Source organism: Homo sapiens, chromosome 11, assembly GCF_000001405.40.
Source record: "Homo sapiens chromosome 11, GRCh38.p14 Primary Assembly".
Lineage (NCBI taxonomy): Eukaryota > Metazoa > Chordata > Mammalia > Primates > Hominidae > Homo > Homo sapiens.
In genome coordinates, this window is record NC_000011.10 from 650,592 (window position 1) to 670,217 (window position 19,626).

Genomic DNA, 19,626 nt, shown 5'->3' on the forward strand with positions numbered 1-19,626 from the left:
CTCTTGGCCTCCCAAAGTGTTGGGATGACTGGTGTGGGCCACTGCACCCAGCCAAAAAGGTTTTTTTTAAAAAGATGCAGGCTGGGCGCAGTGACTCATGCCTGTCATCCCAGCACTTTGGGAGGCCAAGCGGGGGTGGAACACTTGAGTCCAAGGGGTCGAGACCAGCCTGGGCAAAATGGCGAAACCCCGTCTCAACTAAAAATACAAAGAATTAGCTGGGCGTGGGGCGTGTATCTGTAGAGGCTGCCGTGAGTCAAGATCATGCCACTGCGCTCCAGTCTGGGTGACAGAGTGAGACTCTGTCTCAAAAGTAAAAGATGCAAACATTCACCATAAGACAGGTGGAGTGTCTATGCTACTATCAGAAAAGGTAATTTTTTTTTTTTGAGATGGAGTCTCGCTCTGTTGCCCAGACTAGAGTGCAGTGGAGTGATCTTGGCTTACTGCAACCTCCGCCTCCCAGGTTCAAGCAATCCTCCTGCCTCAGCCCCGCTAGTAGCTGGGATTACAGGCACGCGCCACCACGCCTGGCTAATTTTTGTGTTTTTAGTAGAGATGGGGTCTTACCATGTTAGCCAAGCTGGTCTCAAACTCCCGACCGGTGATCCACCTGCCTCAGCCTCCCAAAGTGCTGGGATGACAGGCGTGAGCCACTGTGCCCAGCTAGAAAAAGTAAATTTTAATATAAAAACTTCTGTTGGCTGGTGTAGTGCCTCATGCCTATAATCCTAGCACTTTGGGAGGCTGACATGGGAGGATCGCCCGAAGCCAGGAGATGGAGACCAGGCTGGTCAACATAGTAAGACTCCATCTCTGTAAGAAAAAAAAAAAAAAAATTAAATAAAAAATAAAAAACTTATTGAGACAAAGAAGGATGTTTTATAATGATAAAAGAGCTAATTCATCAGGAATGATAATTATAAACTAAACATACATGCACCTAACAACAGAGACCCAAAATAAATGAAGCAAAAACAGGCATAATGGCAGATAAAAACAGATAATTCAGCTGGGCACGGTGGCTCACGCCTGTAATCCCAGCACTTTGAAAGGAGACTGAGGAGGGCAGATCACAAGGTCAGGAGATCGAGACCATCCTGGCTAACACAGTGAAACCCTGTCTCTACTAAAAATACAAAAAATCAGCCGGGCGTGGTGGCGGGTGCCTGTGGTCCCAGCTACTCGGGAGGCTGAGGCAGGAGAATGGCGTGAACCTGGGAGGCGGAGCTTGCGGTGAGCTGAGATGGCGCCACTACACTCCAGCCTGGGCGACAGAGCGAGACTCCGTCTCAAAAACAAAAACAAAAACCAGATAATTCAACAGTAATAGCTGGAGAGTTCAACACTTCACTCTAAATAAGGGGTAGAACAAATAGAGAAAATCAGTGAGAATATGAAAGAGTTGAACAATACTATCAACCAACCTAACTGATATCTAATACTCCACCCAACAGAGCAGAATATACAAGCAACACTCTCCATGATAAGACCATACGCTAGGCCCTAACACAAATCTCAATAAATTTAAAGGTACTGAAAAACACTAAGTATGTTCTTGAACCACAATGTAATTAAAGTAGAAATTAATTATAAAGGTACATTTAAGAAATCCAGAAATATTTGAAATTAGCATACTTCTTTTTTAGATCTACTCCTGAATCCAGCACACACTTCCAAATAACTCATAGGTCACAGAAAAAAATCACACGGCAAATATTTTCAACTGCATAAAATATTCGAACTGAATAAAGATGAAACACAGGCTGGGTGCCGTGGCTCACACTTGCAATCCCAGCAATTTGGGAGGCCGAGGCAGGCAGATCACTTGAGGCCAGAAGTTTGAGACCAGCCTGGGCAACATGGTGAAACCCTGTCTCTACTAAAAACATAAAAATTAGCCGGGGGTGGAGGTGCATGCCTGTAATCCCAGCTACTCGGGAGGCTGAGGTAGGAGAATCACTTGAACCCGGGAGGCAGAGGTTGCAGTGAGCCGAGATCTTGCCACTGCACTCCAGCCTGGGCTACAGAGCAAAACTGTCTCAAAAAGAAAATAGAGAAGGAGGGCAGAAGGGCACACTTCCCAATTGATCTGAAAGGCCAGTGTTGCTCTGACACCAACATGAAACAAAGACATCACAGGACAAAATATAGACCAGCATCTCTCATAAATATGAGAAAAAAAAACCATCAAAAAGATTAGTAAAGCTGCTGGGAACAGTAGCTCACACCTCTAAATCCCAGCACTTTGGGAGGCCAAGGTGGGTGGATCACCTGAGGTCAGGAGTTCGAGACCAGCTTGCCCAACGTGGTGAGACCCCGTCTCTACTAAAAATACAAAAATTAGCCAGGTATGGTGGCGCATGCCTGTAATCCCAGCTACTCGGGAGGCTGAGGCAGGAGAATCGCTTGAACCCGGGAGGCAGAGGTTGCAGCGAGCCAAGATCGCACCACTGCACTCCAGCCTGGGTGACAGAATGAGACTCTGTCTCAAAAAAAAAAAAAAAAAAAAAAAAAAAGAGTGACTAAATGCTCCCGAGTACTCTGATTATGGTAGACAAAGTTATACAATCCTGAACTACCGTTTGTAGCCTACAAAATTTCTCTTGAATTTCTGTGGAGCGGAGGGCTGAATAATAGAGGAACTGTGGACGCTGTCTCTCGCGTGGCTCTGCAGGGGTGTGGAGGGCTCAATAATAGAGGAACTGTGGACAGTCTCTCTCTCGCGTGGCTCTGCAGGGGTGTGGAGGGCTCAATAATAGAGGAACTGTGGACGCTCTCTCTCGCGTGGCTCTGCAGGGGTGTGGAGGGCTCAATAATAGAGGAACTGTGGACAGTCTCTCTCGCGTGGCTCTGCAGGGGTGTGGAGGGCTCAATAATAGAAGAACTGTGGACAGTCTCTCTCGCGTGGCTCTGCAGGGGTGTGGAGGGCTCAATAATAGAGGAACTGTGGACAGTCTCTCTTGCGTGGCTCTGCAGGGGTGTGGAGGGCTGAATAATAGAGGAACTGTGGACAGTCTCTCTCACGTGGCTCTGCAGGGGTGTGGAGGGCTCAATAATGGAACTGTGGACAGTCTCTCTTGCGTGGCTGTGCAGGGGTGTGGAGGGCTGGGAAGCACTGACCAGCAGCCCTCAGGGTTTCCGGCCACCAACTGTGGGGCCTCACATGAGAGCACTACCTGGCCATGTCACATGTGAGCCTTCTGCAGGGTCTTCACGGAGCCAGGCAGGAGCCCCGGATTCCCAGAGGGAGGGACAGGGAGGGGAGTCAGGTGTGGCACCAGGAGCACAAGGGGAGGGAGGGCCACCCAGGGGTCTTCGTAGCGAGGGAGGAGGCGGGGGCACTGAGCCTGGTGTAGGTGAGACCTACCTTGCGTTGGCAGAAGGTGGAGCAGTAGTTGACCTTGTGGCAGCCGGTGCACTCGCTCATAGCCTCCCGGCCGCAGTTAACGCAGGACTGCTGCAAGAAGGACACAACAGGCCAGTCAGTGACGTGGCCGTGGAGAGCCCCTGAGACACCGGGGACAGAGGCAGGTGCAGGCAGGAGGCCCCAAGTTCCCCCCATTGGACCCCCTTTTTTTTTTTTTTTTTTTTTGAGATGGAGTCTCACTCTGTCGCCCAGGCTGGAGTGCCGTGGTGCGATCTCAGCTCACTGCAACTTCCGCCTCCTGGGTTCAAGCAATTCTCCTGTCTCAGCCTCCTGAGTCTGGGATGATAGGTGCCTGACACCACGCCCAGCTAATTTGTGTATTTTTAGTAGAGACAGGGTTTCACCATGTTGGTCAGGCTGGTCTTGAACCTCTGACCTCGTGATCCACCTGCCTCGGCCTCCCAAAGTGCTGGGATTACAGGCGTGAGCCACTGCGCCCAGCTCCCATTGGACTCTTGACTGCGCCTCTGCCCCAGTGCTGCTCAGAACGTTCTTGTCACCTCCAGAATCAGCTCTTTCCTGGCCTCAGTGCAGTTTGCCCCCTACATTCATTCACTGGAAGACCAGTATGGGCCGGGAGCAGCGGCTCATACCTGTAATCCCAGGACTTTGGGCAGCCGAGGCGGGTGGATCACCTGAGGTCAGGAGTTCAGCACAGGCAACGTTGCGAAACCCAGTCTCTACTAAAAATACAAAAATTAGCTGGGTGTGGTGGTGGCCACCTGTAATCCCAGCTACCTGGGAGGCTGAGGTGGGAGAATAGCTTGCACCCAGGAGGCGGAGGTTGCAGTGAACCGAGATTGCACTACTGCACTCCAGCCTGGGTGACAGAGCGAGACTCCCATCTCAAAAAAAAAGGGAAATCAGGGCCGGATGCAGTGGCTCATGCCTGTAATCCCAGCACTTTAGGAGGCTGAGGTGGGCGGATCACGAAGTTAGGAGATCGAGACCATCCTGGCTAACACGGTGAAACCCCGAGATTGTACCATTGCACTCCAGCCTGGGCGACAGAGCAAGACTGTCTCCAAAACAAACAAACAAACAAACAAACAAAAACAAAGGGAAATCAGCATGGAAATCTTTCTCCAAACTCCAAGGAGCTTCACTCCAGCCAGGCCAGCACAGAAAATCAAACTCAGGAGTCCACCGCTCCCAACACTCCTGAGCAGGGCTGTGGGCATCAGCCTGGGCGCACCGTGGCAGGCATGTGTCCCAAACTGCTGCGGCGGTGCCCCAGCCAACACCCCCACGGCCCCACCTGAGCTGGTTTCTGTGGTGGATTGAAAAGATGCCACCAGAGGTTTGTGTACTTTCTCCTGGAATTACATTATTGGAGCTTTTCTTTTTAATCAGCGCATAGGTCAACATGCTGTCAATGATTAATGTTTGCGGCATGACTAAGGTGCTTGACAGTTGTGAGCTCCGCCGTCAATGCTCTCTGAGACGGAGAAGACCACTGGGCCTAGGAGAGGCCTTGGCGCCGCGACCTGCACGCCCGCTATGCGCCCAGATCATCCGCAGCTGCGGGAGGGGCCGTGGCCAGTGGGTGAGTGGCAGCGTCTGTGAGCAGCACAGAGCAGCACAGGAAACGACTCCAGCGCGGCCCCACGGCCCCTGCACGCGTGCAGACCTGCTCCGAGGTTCTGTTCTGATGCTTGCCTCCCTCCTTCGCAAACGTGATCTTTAACATTTTTCCAGTTGTAAGACATTCAGAGCTCCGACATTCAGTCACTCACTTCAGAAAACAGGAGCATTAGGAGGAATTTTGGTGCTAATTTAGGTTGCCCCCTGCCTCTACTTTATTTATTTATTATTATTATTATTTTTTTGAGATGGAGTCTCACTCTGTCGCCCAGGCTGGAGTGTAGTGGCGCAATCTCGGCTCACTGCAACCTCCACCTCCTGGGTTTAAGTGATTCTTGTGCCTCAGCCTCCCCACAGCTGGGACTACAGGCACGGACCACCACGCCTGGCTAATTTTTTTGTATTTTTAGTACAGATGGGGTTTCACCATATTGGTCAGGCTGGTCTCGAGCTCCTGACCTCAAATGATCCACCTGAGTCGGCCCCCCAAAGTGCTGGGATTACAGGCATGAGCCACCGCGCCTGGCCTGTGCCTCTACTTTAAATGACAAACTTTTTTTTTTTTTTTGAGATGGAGTCTCGCTCTGTCGCCCAGCCTGGAGTGCAGTGGCACGATCTCAGCTCATTGCAACCACCACCTTCCAGATTCGAGCAATGCTTCCACCTTAGCCTCTCAAGTAGCTGGGATTATAGGCGCTTGCCACCATGCCTGGCTAATTTTTGTATTTTTAGTAGAGACGGGGTTTTGCCCTGTTGGCCAGGCTGGTCTCGGAAACTCCTGACCTCAGGTGATCCGCCTGCCTTGGCCTCCCAAAATGCTGGGATTACAGGCATGAGCCACCAAGCCCAGCCGACAAAATATTTCTTAAAAAGTCTGTAACCACAGAGAAGCTTCTCGAAGGAGAACACAGCTTCTGCAGGCTTTATTAACATTCTGGGTTGCTCTGTGGATGGCCGGGCCAGGCAGGACCCTGGTCCAGCCCCTCACAGACAGAGGTCAGGTGGGGTGGGAGGCTGGCGGGAGCGTGGTCACTGTCCCGGGGAGCGGCCCCCACGCTGAGAAGGGCACGGGTCTCCGTGTCCAGCAGTCCCTGTGCACCACACACCAGGACGTCCTGTACTTGCCCCCCAGCATAGTTCCTGGAGGACAGCACCCCTGAACTGAACGGGAAGCCTGTCCTGTTGCCTCGCAGGCGCCTCTTCAGCCTCAGCTGGGACTTTCAACCACTTGGGCCTTTCGCGGTATGCCCTTTGCAAAACTTTTTTTTTTTTTTAAACTGAAAAATAACGTTCTAGGAAGGTTAGAAGGAGCTTTGGGGTCTGAATTAGAGTCAGAGGCAGTAGCATGAACTCATGTTCTCTTCACAGATACAGAAGTGGCTGCGGAGATGTTCATACACACAGGTGACACCCTCATCCCTGCTCTGCAGCTGAACAGGTGACACCCTCGTCCCTGCTCTGCAGCTGAGGGCCTCCACGTGACAACATCCCAGCAGCACCGGACCCACCTGGCACCCACCTGGCACCCAGGCCTCACTCTCTAAGACTTCCCAATAAAAGGACCTGGGGCTCCCTGCCTGGCACCCAGGCCTCACTCTCTTAAGACTTGCCAATAAAAGGACCCGGGGCTCCTTGGAGAAGGGGCTGATTCCCGGGCCAGGGCAGGGAATGCAAGAGGAGGCTGGAGCACCCTGCAGTGCCAGGAAGTCAGGACGTACCCCAAAATGAAAAGTCTGTTGAAAGGGGTGCATCAGGGGACCCAGGAGCCGACGGCAGGAGCTCCCTAGGGCCAAGGACAGATGGTGTGCTTCACAAGAAAGTAGTGTTGCCTTCTAGCTCAGAGTTTAAAACACATATAAAATGAGCCCATCCGGATACAAACAAATGATCAAATAAATAAATACAAGTCCAAGCTATTCCAGATCCTCCCGTCTAGGAGAAGCCCCCCCACGGCCGTGGACTTGCTGCCTGACTAAATGTGCAAAGGGAGAAGCAGTCCTGTCACCAAGGAGACACCTACAGACACCTGACTCTGGTGAGGAAGGTCAGAGCTGTCTGTAATGTCACTTGGATGTCAGGGACGCCACAGTGGGGTGAGACAGGCGGCAGCACCCCTCCCTGAAACCTGTCGTCCACCCCCACGAGAAAGCACAAGACAAGCCTGGATCGGGGCACCTGGACAAACTGCCTGGCCAGGCCCTCTCAGAACTGCAGGGCATGGAAGACAAGGAAAGACTGAGAGACCGTCACAGGCCTGAGGGTGCTGGGCAAATGGTGCACGGGAGGCTGTCTCCCACAGGTGGCAGCGGGGACAAGGTCCTAGAGCAGAAACAGGACATTGATAGTGAAATTCAAAGTCCGGAGTTCACAGGGACACCCAGCGACGGTTTCTCAGCTACAACAGCCATGCCCTGTGGGCTTTGAAGTTACAGAGGGGAGGCTGCGGAGTGGCAGAAGGGACCCTCTGCGCTCACTTTGCAACTTTTCTGTAAACCTAAAATTATCCCGAAATACGTTTATTTTTTAAAATAACCATTCATTAGCCGGGCACGGTGGCTCACGCCTGTAATCCCAGCACTTTGGGAGGCTGAGGCAGGCGGATCACGAGGTCAGGAGATCGAGACCATCCTGGCTAACACGGTGAAACCCTGTCTCTACTAAAAATACAAAAAAATTAGCCAGGCGTGTTGGCGGGTGCCTGTACTCCCGGCTACTCGCGAGGCTAAGGCAGGAGAATGGCATGAACCCAGGAGGTGGAGCTTGCAGTGAGCCGAGAACGCGCCACTGCACTCCAGCCTGGGTGACAGAGCTAGACTCTGTCTCAAAAACAAAAACAAAAAACCATTCATTACTGCGGAAGAGGTGTGTGTGCGTTGCAGAAGGTTAGGACAAGACACCGCGTTTCCGCAGCCAAGGACATCGACAAGTCCCATTCTGCGCTTTCAGGAAACTGTCAGGAAATCACAGGACTGCGGATGGCACAAAGGGCAGAAGTGCCCAGGCCTGCCCAGGCGCCCCAAGAAGCTCATGCTGCCAAGCAGCTGGCATTGCCATTAGCATTCAGAGTTCTCTGGGCCGCAGGCGGGCAGAGGAGGAGACTGCAGCAGAGCACCCTGCGGGGAGTCCCGCCCAAGCAGCGGGTCCAGCCCCTCAGCAGAGACTGCGAAGGGGTTTCCTGGCCTGCCTTCCCTGCTGCAGGGGCCCCCCATCTGCACATCACACAACAGGAACACACCTACTTTTGGCAATGCAATAGCTGGTGTACTCTGGTCCAGGTGGAAAAAAGCCTTGTGAATCACATATGCTGGTTTCATTATAATTGATTTTTAAATTAGACAAATTACAGATAACAAAGCCACTCCTTCAGAAACAGCCAACCAAGAGTAAGACCATAAGATCACATATAAAATGCCTATTAATTTCTAACTATCAAAGAATAAGTTAATAATGTATTCATTATTCTTTCTGCAAATAAAACTAAGTCTAACTTGAAAACCTAGATACTGGCCAGGCATGGTGGCTACACCTGTAATCCCAGCACTTTGGGAGGCCGAGGCGGGAGCATCGCTTGAGCCCAAGAGTTTAAGGCCAGCCTAGGTGACATGGCAAAACCCTGTCTCTACAAAAAAAAAAAAAAAAAAAATTAGCTGGGCATGGTGGCATGCACCTCTTAGCTACCAGAGAGGCTGAGGTGGGAGGATTGCTTGAGCCTGGGAGGTGGAGGTTGCAGTGAGCTGAGGTCACACCAGTGCACTCCAGCCTGGGTGACAGAGGGAGAACATGTCTCAAATGATAAAAAATAATAATAAAAAAGAAAACCTAGACACACCCCGGATGGAGATGAGGCTGTGGTTGGAGGCAGCCTGGTGGATCGTGTATCTTACAAGGAGTGCTTTCTTTATGACTTATTCTTAGAGGATGTAATGCTGCCAGGAGCCTCGATGGAGCCAACTCCGTGTCACCATCACTCCTGAACCAAATGGGGCCACAGGCCCACTGTGCACAGGGGCCTCCGCCTGCTTCAGGGGCCAGGTGATTGGAGGGCGAGTTGGCCTCGGGGTTCAGAGCCGCTGGGAGAACCCTGAGTAGCCTTTGCAGATCCGCTCCTGGGTCTAGTTCCAGAGGCTCCTTTCCCGGCACTGCAGTGAGTTCAGGTGAAGCAGCCGCCTAATTCCACAGGCCCGGCCTCCTCTGGAGAGACAGAGCGGGAGAGGGGAGAGTGAGCAGGAAGCCAGCGGTAGATGGGGCTTCAGGAGAACCTGCTGGACCCTGAAGCCGTGAACCGGAAGCTGGGGAGTCCCAGCGTCACCCTGCATGGAGGCTGAAATACAAAGTCCCCAACACAGGGCAGGTGGGGCCAGGTGGGGCTTGGGCAGGCAGGGCCCAAGGGGCTGCTGCTGTGCACCCTTGAGGTCTGCCCCCGGGACCACTGTGGCTTCACCAATGCCCACCATGGGGCAGAGGGCTCCCCATGACTGTGTCCCGTGAGGGCGCAGCAGCTCAGCTTAAAAGTAAGAGAAATGCAAATTAGACTGGATTACTCTCCCTCGAGGAAGCAACGGAAATAAGAGAAAACCCTCAAAACATCAAGCAGGTTTATCTGAAAGCTGAGCCGCACACGTAAAGAGATCAAAGGATTAGTCTAATAGCATCTTTTTGAGCTGGGACAGAGTTTGCCGTTTCTATGAAATGACCATGATACAGATCTCTGAGGAAGCATCAGACAAATTCAGATTTACAACCTGTCCCCGCCCCTGCCCCAGAAAGCCCACACACCTCATCCCAGGTCAGGCAGGGTCCCCCTGAAGTGGGACTGCAAAGCCACCTCTGTGCTTTTCCCAGGCTGCCCCGCCGGCGCCGCCTCACCCCGTCCCGGGCACCTGGCCGCCCCTCCCACCACAACACCCCTGGCTCCCTCGGGGGACTCCAAGCCTGCATTTCCGGGGGCTTCCACGCTGCTGGGGGGTGCTCTGAAGAGTTCCCTGGGGACACGGGGATGGCGGGCTGCTCCCGAGTATCCCAAAGACGCCAGCAACCCTCGCTCACTGGGCCACGGCAGGACGTTGGTCCAGTCCGGCTCTGGAATCTGATGTTTGATGCGGAACAGGTGACTGAGCTGTCTTGGGTCTGGCCGGGCCTATTTGGCTCACGTGAGTGTTAGGCTGACACTGGAGAACAAGGCAGGCAAAAGCCTTCATTTACAGAAACCCCATACCTGGACTTCAAGGAAATGTCACTGAAACACAAGCCCCTCTCGGCGCTGCTTGAGGCACCCGCGGCCTTACGGTGTTGGGAGAGGCCCCCGCAGGGAAGCGGCTGCTCTGGGGTCTGTCTCCACCCTTCCAGATCCCCAGGCACGGAGGCACCATCCAGGCACAGCACAGACCTATTTCTGAGCTTCCTAGGAGTCAAGGACATTGTTACTGTCCAACTTACGTATTCTTCTCCCTTTCATACCCTTCTGTGCTGTACTATATTTAACACTTTAAAAGGAAGTTAGGGAGACTGGAGAAAGCCTGAGAGCGAGCTACTAGAAACGGGGACAGGCTAGAGGAATGGGGTTTGCGCTCAGGGCAGCATGGCCAACAACAAGCCGGGGCCAGGGCAGTGAGTCCAAGACCCTGCAGCCACTCGGCTGGCTTCCACTGGACACTGTGCCCTTGACAGCCAAGGGCATCTGCTTTTCTGCCTTGTTGAATCTCTGCAGAGCTCATTACATACACACGAATGCAGATTTCCCATGGTTAAAGCTGGCAACAATCCCCTTAATAGCTTCAGCTGGGCTACATTTGATTTTTTTTTTTTTTAAATTCCAGATAAAAGGCCAGGCACCGAGGCTCATGCCTGTAATCCCAGCACTTTGGAAGGCCGAGACAGGTGGATCACCGGAGGTCAGGGGTTCAACACCAGCCTGGCCAACATGGTGAAATACCGCGTCTACTAAAAATACAAAAATTAGCCAGGCGTGGTGGCAAGCGCCTGTAACCCCAGCTACTCGGGAGGCTGAGGCAGAAGAATCGCTTGAACCTGGGAGGCACAGGTTGCAGTGAGCTGAGATCGCACCACTGCACTCCAGCCTGGGCAACAAGAGCGAAACTCCATCTCCAAAACAAACATTCCAGATACAATGTGGAATCGGCAGCGTCACGCCTGCCCTCCCACTGCTGGAGGCATGGGTGCTCTGTCAGGGTGCTCATGAGCAAGGCTTCCTCATTCCCACACGTGGACCTTTCCATTCAGAGACAGCAGTGTCTGCCTCTCAAACCCTGACTTTCCAGCACTAATTACAAATAACAATTTAATGGCACAAAGCAAGCTTGTCCAACCCACAGCCCGCGGGCTGCATGCAGCCCAGGATGGCTTTGCATGAGGCCCAACACACATTCGTAAACTTTCTTAAAACATTATGGGCCGGGCGCGGTGGCTCATGCCTATAATCCCAACACTTTGAGAGGCCGAGGTGGGCGGATCACCTGAGGTCAGGAGTTCAAGACCAGCCTGGCCAACATGGCAAAATACAAAAACTAGCTGGGCGCAGTAGTGCGCACCTGTAATCCCAGCTACTCGAGAGGCTGAAGCAAGAGAATCGCTTGATCCCGGGAGGCAGAGGTTGTGTGTGGTGAGCTGAGATCGCGCCACTGCACTCCAGCCTGGGCAACAGAGCAAGATTCCGTCTCATAAAACAAAAAAAAATTATGAGATTTTTAATGTGTGGCCCAATTCCTCTTCTTGCAGTGTGGCCCAGGGAAGAGAAAAGATTGGACACCCCGGCATAAAGCCTTCCTCCCATTCTGCAGTGGCGTGGGATCAGGGAACAGAAACTCATTTTCATCCTACTGTTGTGGGGAACCATTCAGTACTTCCTACAGGGCAGGAGGACGCCAACATGCGACCACCTTCCTCCCCTCGCCGACCTCCGACTCCCGCCCAGCCCAGGCGCCCCCCAGGCTCCTGGAGGTTGCTCCGCGTTGCTGTTGCTGCAGGTGAAGGGACACAGGTTGAGGCCCCTCCTTGTAGGACTTCTGAGCCTCACCCCCGAGCCCTCGTAAGATACCTGTGGAGCTGATCTCAAAGAAATCTCCACATCTAATTCAGAACCATCATCTCACCAGAACACAACGGCCTTGCTCCTGCCTGGGTGCTGTACCATGATGGCACCACAATGGTCCAAGTGACCACCACCTTTGCTGGAACGGCTGCATGCACACAGCACTGGGCACAACCACGTCTGCAAGTGCCCATGACTGTTCACCATGTCAGCCCTCAGCACGGCAGCAGGGGGCAGCAGCACCATGAATATCCTCCAGCCAACTGACCCTGCCGCACCCCCAGAGGGCACGATGCCCATTCCCAGCCTCCCTGAGCACAACCGCTGTCCTGATGCTCTGAAAGGGATGATATTTGGCTTTTTACTACTGGCCTGGGGGCCAGAAGCAGGGGCTCACGCCTAGAGTCCCAGCACTCTGGGAGGCTGACTGGGCGAATATCTTGAGACCACGTGTTCAGGACCAGCCTCGGCAACAAAACAAGATGCTGTCTCTATAAAAAACACAAAACCTAGTTGAGCATGGTGGCTTACGTCTGTAATCCCAGCACTTTGGGAGGCCAAGGAGGGTGGATCACCTGAACGCAGGAGTTCAAAACCAGCCTGGCTAATAACGGCGAAACTCCATCTCAACTAAAAATACAAAAATTAGCCAGACGTGGTGGCGCGTGCCTGTAATTCCAGCCACTCGGGAGACTGAAGCAGGACAATCGCTTGCACCCGGGAGGCGGAGGTTGCAGTGAGCCGAGATTCTGCCACTGCACTCCAGCCTGGGTGACAGAGTGAGACTCAACAACAACAACAAAAGACTGCCTCTGGAGTCAATACCAGGCTTTTGGCCTTTCCTCCTCCATCTCCTCAGCAACTGCCTCTGGTGTGAATACCAGGCTTTTGGCCTTTCCTCCTCAAATCGCCTCAGCAACTGCCTGTGGAATGAATACGAAGCTTTTGGCCTTTCCTCCTCCATCTCCTCAGCGACTGCCTCTGGACTGATAAATCAGGCTTTTGGCCTTTCCTCCTCCAACTCCTCAGCGACTGCCTCTGAAGTGAATATCAGGCTTTTGACCCTTCCTCCATCTCCTCAGCGACTGCCTCTGGAGTGAATACCAGGCTTTTGGCCTTTCCTTCTCCATCTCCTCAGCAGTTTTTCTTGCGAAGGTCCGGTCTGCTGGACTCTAGGAGACGGCCACATCACGGAAAGCACTGTGGTCCTGTCTGCTACCATGGCTTCCTGAAGCTATATGTTCATTTAAGATGTCTCAAGAAAACGGACAAAATAGGGCCGAGTGCCATGGCTCCCGCCTATAATCCCAGCTCTTTGGGAGGCTGAGGTGGGCGGATCACGTGAGGCTGGGAGTTCAAGACCAGCCTGACCAACATGAAGAAACCCCATCTCTACTAAAAATACAAAAATTAGCCAGGCGTGGTGGCACATGCCTGTATTCCCAGCTACTCAGGAGGCTGAGGCAGAAGAATCCCTTGAACCCAGGAGGCAGAGGTTGCGGTGAGCCGAGATCACGCCATTGCACTCCAGCCTGGGCAACAAGAGCGAAACTCTGTCTCAAGAAAAAAAGAAAAAGAAAAAAAAGAAAAAAAGTTCACTTTTGTAGCCACCAGAGAAAAGAAAAAAAAAAAGGAAAATGAAACCTACTGTGTCTGGGCCACCCTGAAGGAGTGTGAAGCAGTATCCACCCCAAGCCATGGCACTGAGAGGAGGAAGACAGAAACGGTATCACATTCGGAGCCTCTAAGTCCTGACTCCAGCTATTCACACCGAGAGGAGGAGGACAGGGCGTCACACTCGGTCACTCTGAGTCCTGGCTCAGCTATTCACACCGAGAGGAGGAGGACAGGGCGTCACACTCGGTCACTCTGAGTCCTGGCTCAGCTATTCACACCGAGAGGAGGAGGACAGGGCGTCACACTCGGTCACTCTGAGTCCTGGCTCAGCTATTCACACCGAGAGGAGGAGGACAGGGCGTCACACTCGGTCACTCTGAGTCCTGGCTCAGCTATTCACACCGAGAGGAGGAGGACAGGGCGTCACACTCGGTCACTCTGAGTCCTGGCTCAGCTATTCACACCGAGAGGAGGAGGACAGGGCGTCACACTCGGTCACTCTGAGTCCTGGCTCAGCTATTCACACCGAGAGGAGGAGGACAGGGCGTCACACTCGGTCACTCTGAGTCCTGGCTCAGCTATTCACACCGAGAGGAGGAGGACAGGGCGTCACACTCGGTCACTCTGAGTCCTGGCTCAGCTATTCACACCGAGAGGAGGAGGACAGGGCGTCACACTCGGTCACTCTGAGTCCTGGCTCAGCTATTCACACCGAGAGGAGGAGGACAGGGCGTCACACTCGGTCACTCTGAGTCCTGGCTCAGCTATTCACACCGAGAGGAGGAGGACAGGGCGTCACACTCGGTCACTCTGAGTCCTGGCTCAGCTATTCACACCGAGAGGAGGAGGACAGGGTGTCACACTCGGTCACTCTAAGTAAGTCCTGGCTCAGCTATTCACACCGAGAGGAGAAGGACAGGGTGTCACACTCGGTCACTCTAAGTAAGTCCTGGCTCAGCTATTCACACTGAGAGGAGGAGGACAGGGTGTCACACTCGGTCACTCTAACTAAGTCCTGGCTCAGCTATTCACACTGAGAGGAGGAGGACAGGGTGTCACACTCAGAGCCTCTGAGTCCTGGCTCAGCTATTCAAGTAATGGCTTTATGAATGACACGTCCGATACACAGCTTTAGAGAAAGGGAACACATCGCTTCTAACACTTCCTGACATTTCTTCTAACTCCTGACATTTTCAGATGCACGGGATGTTCACTGCAACAGCTGCTTCCAGCTGAGAAAGGGGCCGCCCTTTCTAACGTTTTAAAAGGCTTGGCTGTCTACCAAACGGGATTTTAAGGATAAAGGGATTTCATGCCACATTTCTCTCATAGAAATACATAAAATTACTAATAAAATTCAAAGCCCAGCCTTTCAGGGCAGGGACCCAGCTGACGCAGCAGCATCAGACACTCTGGCTGCCAAATGAGCAGGGGAGAGAGGCAGCCAGGTGACATAGCAGGGACAGGTGACGTAGCAGGGAGATGGAGCCAGGAAGGCTTCTCCTGGAGGCAGCCCCAGGCCACCAGACATGGGCGGCCACACCGTGGTAGCAGGCTGCAGTCACCCTGGCCAGAGCTGACAAAGTGGCTGGAAAATGAGGGGAGAAACCCTAGAAAGGAGCAAGCACAGAGAGAGGACACTCCCATCCAGCACATAAACGCTCCCCACGTCCTTGTTTGACCCTGAGCTGATGACACAGCATGTGGGGAAGACTCAGCAGAAATGGACGGCTGAAGACCGAGAACACTGAGCAGAGACTGCGGCTGCTGCTCACCACCTGAAAGTCTGGAGTTTGAACCTTCACAAGTTAGAGGCTTAAAAACACCACGGACTTCCCAGGAACATCCAGAAAACCACAGCTTCGCAGATCCAAGACTAAGGATGTGTCAGGCAGAAGAAAAAGCCAGACAGACCTGCCCTAACAGCATCAACACTGATCCTCTTCAGGGTGATCCATAAGAATTCAGCCTGCGAGAACAAAGCCCAACACTCTTCAGGGGAAGACAACAGAATCCAACAAAATTCAGAGTCTCTACCATATAAACTCTACCATATAAACAGTATATAAACTAAAATTCCAACACACAATCAGGAAGTACTGGACGTGTGAAGAAGGGATAACAGGATCCATGATGAAGGGAAAAAGTAGCCAAAAGAAGCAGATCCTGAGGCTGGGCACGGTGGCTCACACCTGTAATCCCAGGCGGGCAGATCACGAGGTTAGGAGATTGTGAACATCCTGGCTAACATGGTGAAACCTCCTCTCTACCAAAAATACAGAAAATTAGCCAGGAGTGGTGGCATGCACCTGTAGTCCCAGCTACTCGGGAGGCTGAGGCAGGAGAATCACTTGAACCCGGGAGGCAGAGGTTGCAGTGAGCTGAGATCGTGCCACTGCACTCCAACCCTGGGCGACAGAGCAAGACTCCGTCTCAAAACAAAACAAAACAACAAAGTATTAGCCAGGTGTGGTGGTGCACACTTGTAGTCCCATCTACTTGGAAGGCTGAGGCAAGAGATCGCTTGAACCTGGGAGGTAGAGCTTGCAGTGAGCTGAGATCGTGTCACTGCACTCTAGCCTGGAGAGCAAGACTCTGTCTCCAAAAAAAAAAAAAAAAAAAAAAAAGAAAAAAAGAAATAGTTATAGCCAGGAGCAGTGGTTCATGCTGGTAATCCCAGTACTTTAGGAGGCCAAGGAAGGTGGGTTGCTTGAGTCCAGGAGTTCAAGACCAGCCTGAGAAACATAGTGAAACCCCATCTATACAAAACAAACAAAAAAATAGCTGGGCATGGTGGTACACATGTGTAGTCCCAGCTACTCAGAAGGCTGAGGTAAGAGGATCGCTTGAGCCAAGGAGTTTGCGGCCAGCCTGGGCATCATGGTGAAACCCCAGCTAAAAATTGGCCGGGAGTAGTGGCCAGTGCCGGTAGTCCTAGCTACTCTGGAGGCTAAGGGAAGATCACCTGAGCCCAGGAACTCAAGGCTGCATTGAGATGTGACCACAACACTGCTTCTTAGCCTCGGTGACAGACAGTGACCCTGTCTCAAAAAAGAAAGAAAAAAGAAGGAAGGAAGGGAGGGATGGAGGGAGGGAGGGAGGAAGGAAGGAAGGAAGGAGAGAGGGAGGGAGGGAGGGAAGGAGGGAAGGAGGAAAAGAGGAAAGGAAGGAAGGAAGGAAGGAAGGCAGGTAGGCAGGCTGGCCAGAAGATGATGGAAAGACATCTTTAAACTGGTGAATGATAAAAAGTGACAACCCAGGTAGGTCATGCCTATAATCCCAGCACTTTGGGAGGCCGAGGCAGGTGAATCACCTGAGGTCGGTCAGGTGTTCAAGACCGGTCTGGCCAACATGGCAAAACCCTGTCTCTAATAAAAAAATACAAAAAATTAGCTGGGCATGGTGGTGTGTGCCTGTAATTCCAGCTACTCAGGAGGCTGAGGCAGGAGAATCGCTTGAACCAGGGAGTCGGAGGTTGCAGCGAACCGAGATGGCATCACTGCACTCCAGCCTGGTGACAGAGTGAGACTTTGTCTCAAAAAATAATAAATAAATAAATAGGCCGGCGTGTTAGCTCATGCCTGTAATCCCAGCACTTTGGGAGGCCCAGGCGGGTGGATCACTTGAGCCCAGGAGTTCAACACCAGCCTGAGCAACATGGCGAAACCCCGTCTCTACCAAAAATACAAAAATTAGCTGGGTGTGGTGGCGCACGCCGATAGTCCCAGCTACTCAGGAGGCTGAGGCAGGAGAATTGCTTAAACCTGGGAAATGGAGGTTGCAGTGAGCGGAGATTGTGCCACTGCACTCCAGCCTGGAAAACAAGAGCGAGACTCTGTCTCAAAAAAATATATATATGTAAGTGACAACCCAGAATTCCATGTCACTCAAAAACGTCCCTCAAAAATAAAGGTGAAAGAGGGACATTACAGACAAAAACAGAGAATTCATGGCCAACAGACCTATATGAAAAGAAAAGCTGAAAGTACATCTTTAGGTTGAAGAAAAACAAGATTTGGACCACACTATGAACCACCTTGACCTAATGACATTACAGAAAACGAAAACCAATGACTGAATAAAACTCTTTTCAAGTGTATATGCAATATTCACCACGAAAAGTATATACATGATCATAAAACACATCTTTTTGTTTTTTTGAGACAGGGTCTCATTCTGTTGCCCAGGCTGGAGCACAGTGGCGTGATCACAGCTCGCTGCAACCTCTACCCCTGGGCTCCAGTGATCCGGCTAATGAAGGAAACATTTTGGCCGGGCACAGTGGTTCATGCCTGTAATCCCAGCACTTTGGGAAGCTGAGGTGGGTGGATGGCTTGAGCTCAGGAGTTTGAGATCAGCCTGGCAACACAGTGAGACCCTCTCTCTATGAAAAATACAAAAATTAGCCAAGCATGGTGGCACATGCCCATAGTCCCAGCTACTTGGGGGGCTGAGGCAAGAGGATTGCTTGAGCCTGGGAACTTGAGGCTGCAGTGAGCCGAGGTCACACCTCTGTACTCCAGCCTGGGTGACAAAGTGAAACCCTTTAAAAAAAAAGTTTTTTGTTTTTTTTTAGACAGAGTCTCGCTCTGTAGCCCAGGCTGGACTGCAGTGGTGCAATCTCGGCTCACTGCAAGCTCTGCCTCCTGGATTCATGCCATTCTCCTGCCTCAGCCTCCTGAGCAGCTGGGACTATAGGTGCCTGCCACCATGCCTGGCTAATGTTTTGTATTTTTAGTAGAGACGGGGTTTTACTGTGTTAGCCAGGATGGTCTCGACCTCCTGACCTTGTGATCTGCCCGCCTCGGCCTCCCAAACTGCTGGGATTACAGGCGTAAGCCACTGCACCCGACCCTTTTTTTTTTTTTTTTTTTTGTACAGACAGGGTCTCACAATGTCCAGGCTTGTCTCAAACTCCTGGCCTCAAGACCTTGGCCTCCCAAAGTGCTGGGATTACAGGTGTGAGTCACCATGCCTGGCCGAAATAAATCGTAATCAATTTAAAAGAACTGAAATCAGAGTATATTTTCTAAGCATATTGGAGTTGAATTAGAAATCAGTTGTGGTAGGAAATCTAGAAAATCAACTGGGTGCAGTACCTCACACCTGTCATCTCAGCACTTTGGGAGGCCGAGGTGGGCAGATCACCTGAGGTCAGGAGCTCAAGACCAGCCTGACCTAAATGGTGAAACCCTGTCTCTACTGAAAATACAAAATTAGCTGGGCGTGGTGGCGCATGCCTGTAATCTCAGCTACTTGAGAGGCTGAAGCAGGAGACTCTCTTGAACCTGGGAGGTGGAGGTTATGGCGAGCCGAGATTGTGCCATTGGATTCCAGCCTGGGCAACAAGAGCGAAACTTGTCTCAAAAAAAAAAGAGGCCAGGTGCGGTGGCTCATGCCTGTAATCCCAGCACTTTGGGAGGCTGAGGCAGGAGGATCACCTGAGGTCAGGAGTTCAAGACCAGCCTGACAAACATGGTGAAACCTCGTCTCTACTTAAAACACAAAAATTAGCTGGGCATGGTGGCATGTGCCTGTAATCCCAGCTATTCGGGAGGCTGAGGCAGGAGAATCACTTAAACCTGGGAGGCGAAGGCTACAGTGAGCCGAGATTGCATCAGTGTACTCCAGCCTGGGTGACAGTGTGAGACTGTCTCAAAAAAAAAAAAAAAAAAAAAAAAAGAAACCCCATCTTTACAAAAAATACAAAAATTAGCCAGGCATGGTGGCGCAAGGCTGCAGTGAACCAAGATCATGCCACTGCACTCCAGCCTGAGTGACAGAGTGAGATGCTGCCTCAAAAGAGAAAAGAAAAAAAAAAAAATGAGAGCAGTGACTGTCCATGGGGCAGGGGACCGATGGAAGGGGACATGAGTGGTGCTTCTGCAGGGATTGAAATGGTCTCATGACCAGGTTCATGCATTCATCAAAACTCACTACATTTTAT

At 52.0% G+C, this 19,626-nt stretch overlaps 1 protein-coding gene and 1 long non-coding RNA gene across 15 annotated transcripts in view; one reads left to right on the forward strand and one right to left on the reverse strand.

Annotated features, from left to right (window-relative positions):
- Window positions 1-19,626, reverse strand: part of DEAF1 (DEAF1 transcription factor) — a 62,851-nt gene that overhangs the window by 6,359 nt on the left and 36,866 nt on the right. For 7 of the 14 annotated variants that reach the window (NM_001367390.1, NM_001440885.1, NM_001440884.1 and 4 more), the window contains one exon: window positions 3,371-3,460. The exons of 1 other annotated variant lie outside the window; for it this stretch is intronic. In NM_001367390.1, coding sequence (NP_001354319.1) covers window positions 3,371-3,460 — 90 coding nt within the window. Of the gene's footprint in view, window positions 1-575; window positions 817-862; window positions 1,356-3,370; window positions 3,461-4,023; window positions 4,066-8,843; window positions 9,206-19,626 lie in introns of those variants that run through there. 6 more of the 14 variants (XM_011519842.4, XM_047426250.1, NM_001293634.2 and 3 more) reach the window with 5 other exon arrangements.
- LOC124902603 (uncharacterized) lies at window positions 4,432-8,513 on the forward strand. The gene is made up of 2 exons (XR_007062543.1): window positions 4,432-4,976; window positions 6,383-8,513. It is a non-coding gene; the product is annotated as an uncharacterized LOC124902603 (long non-coding RNA).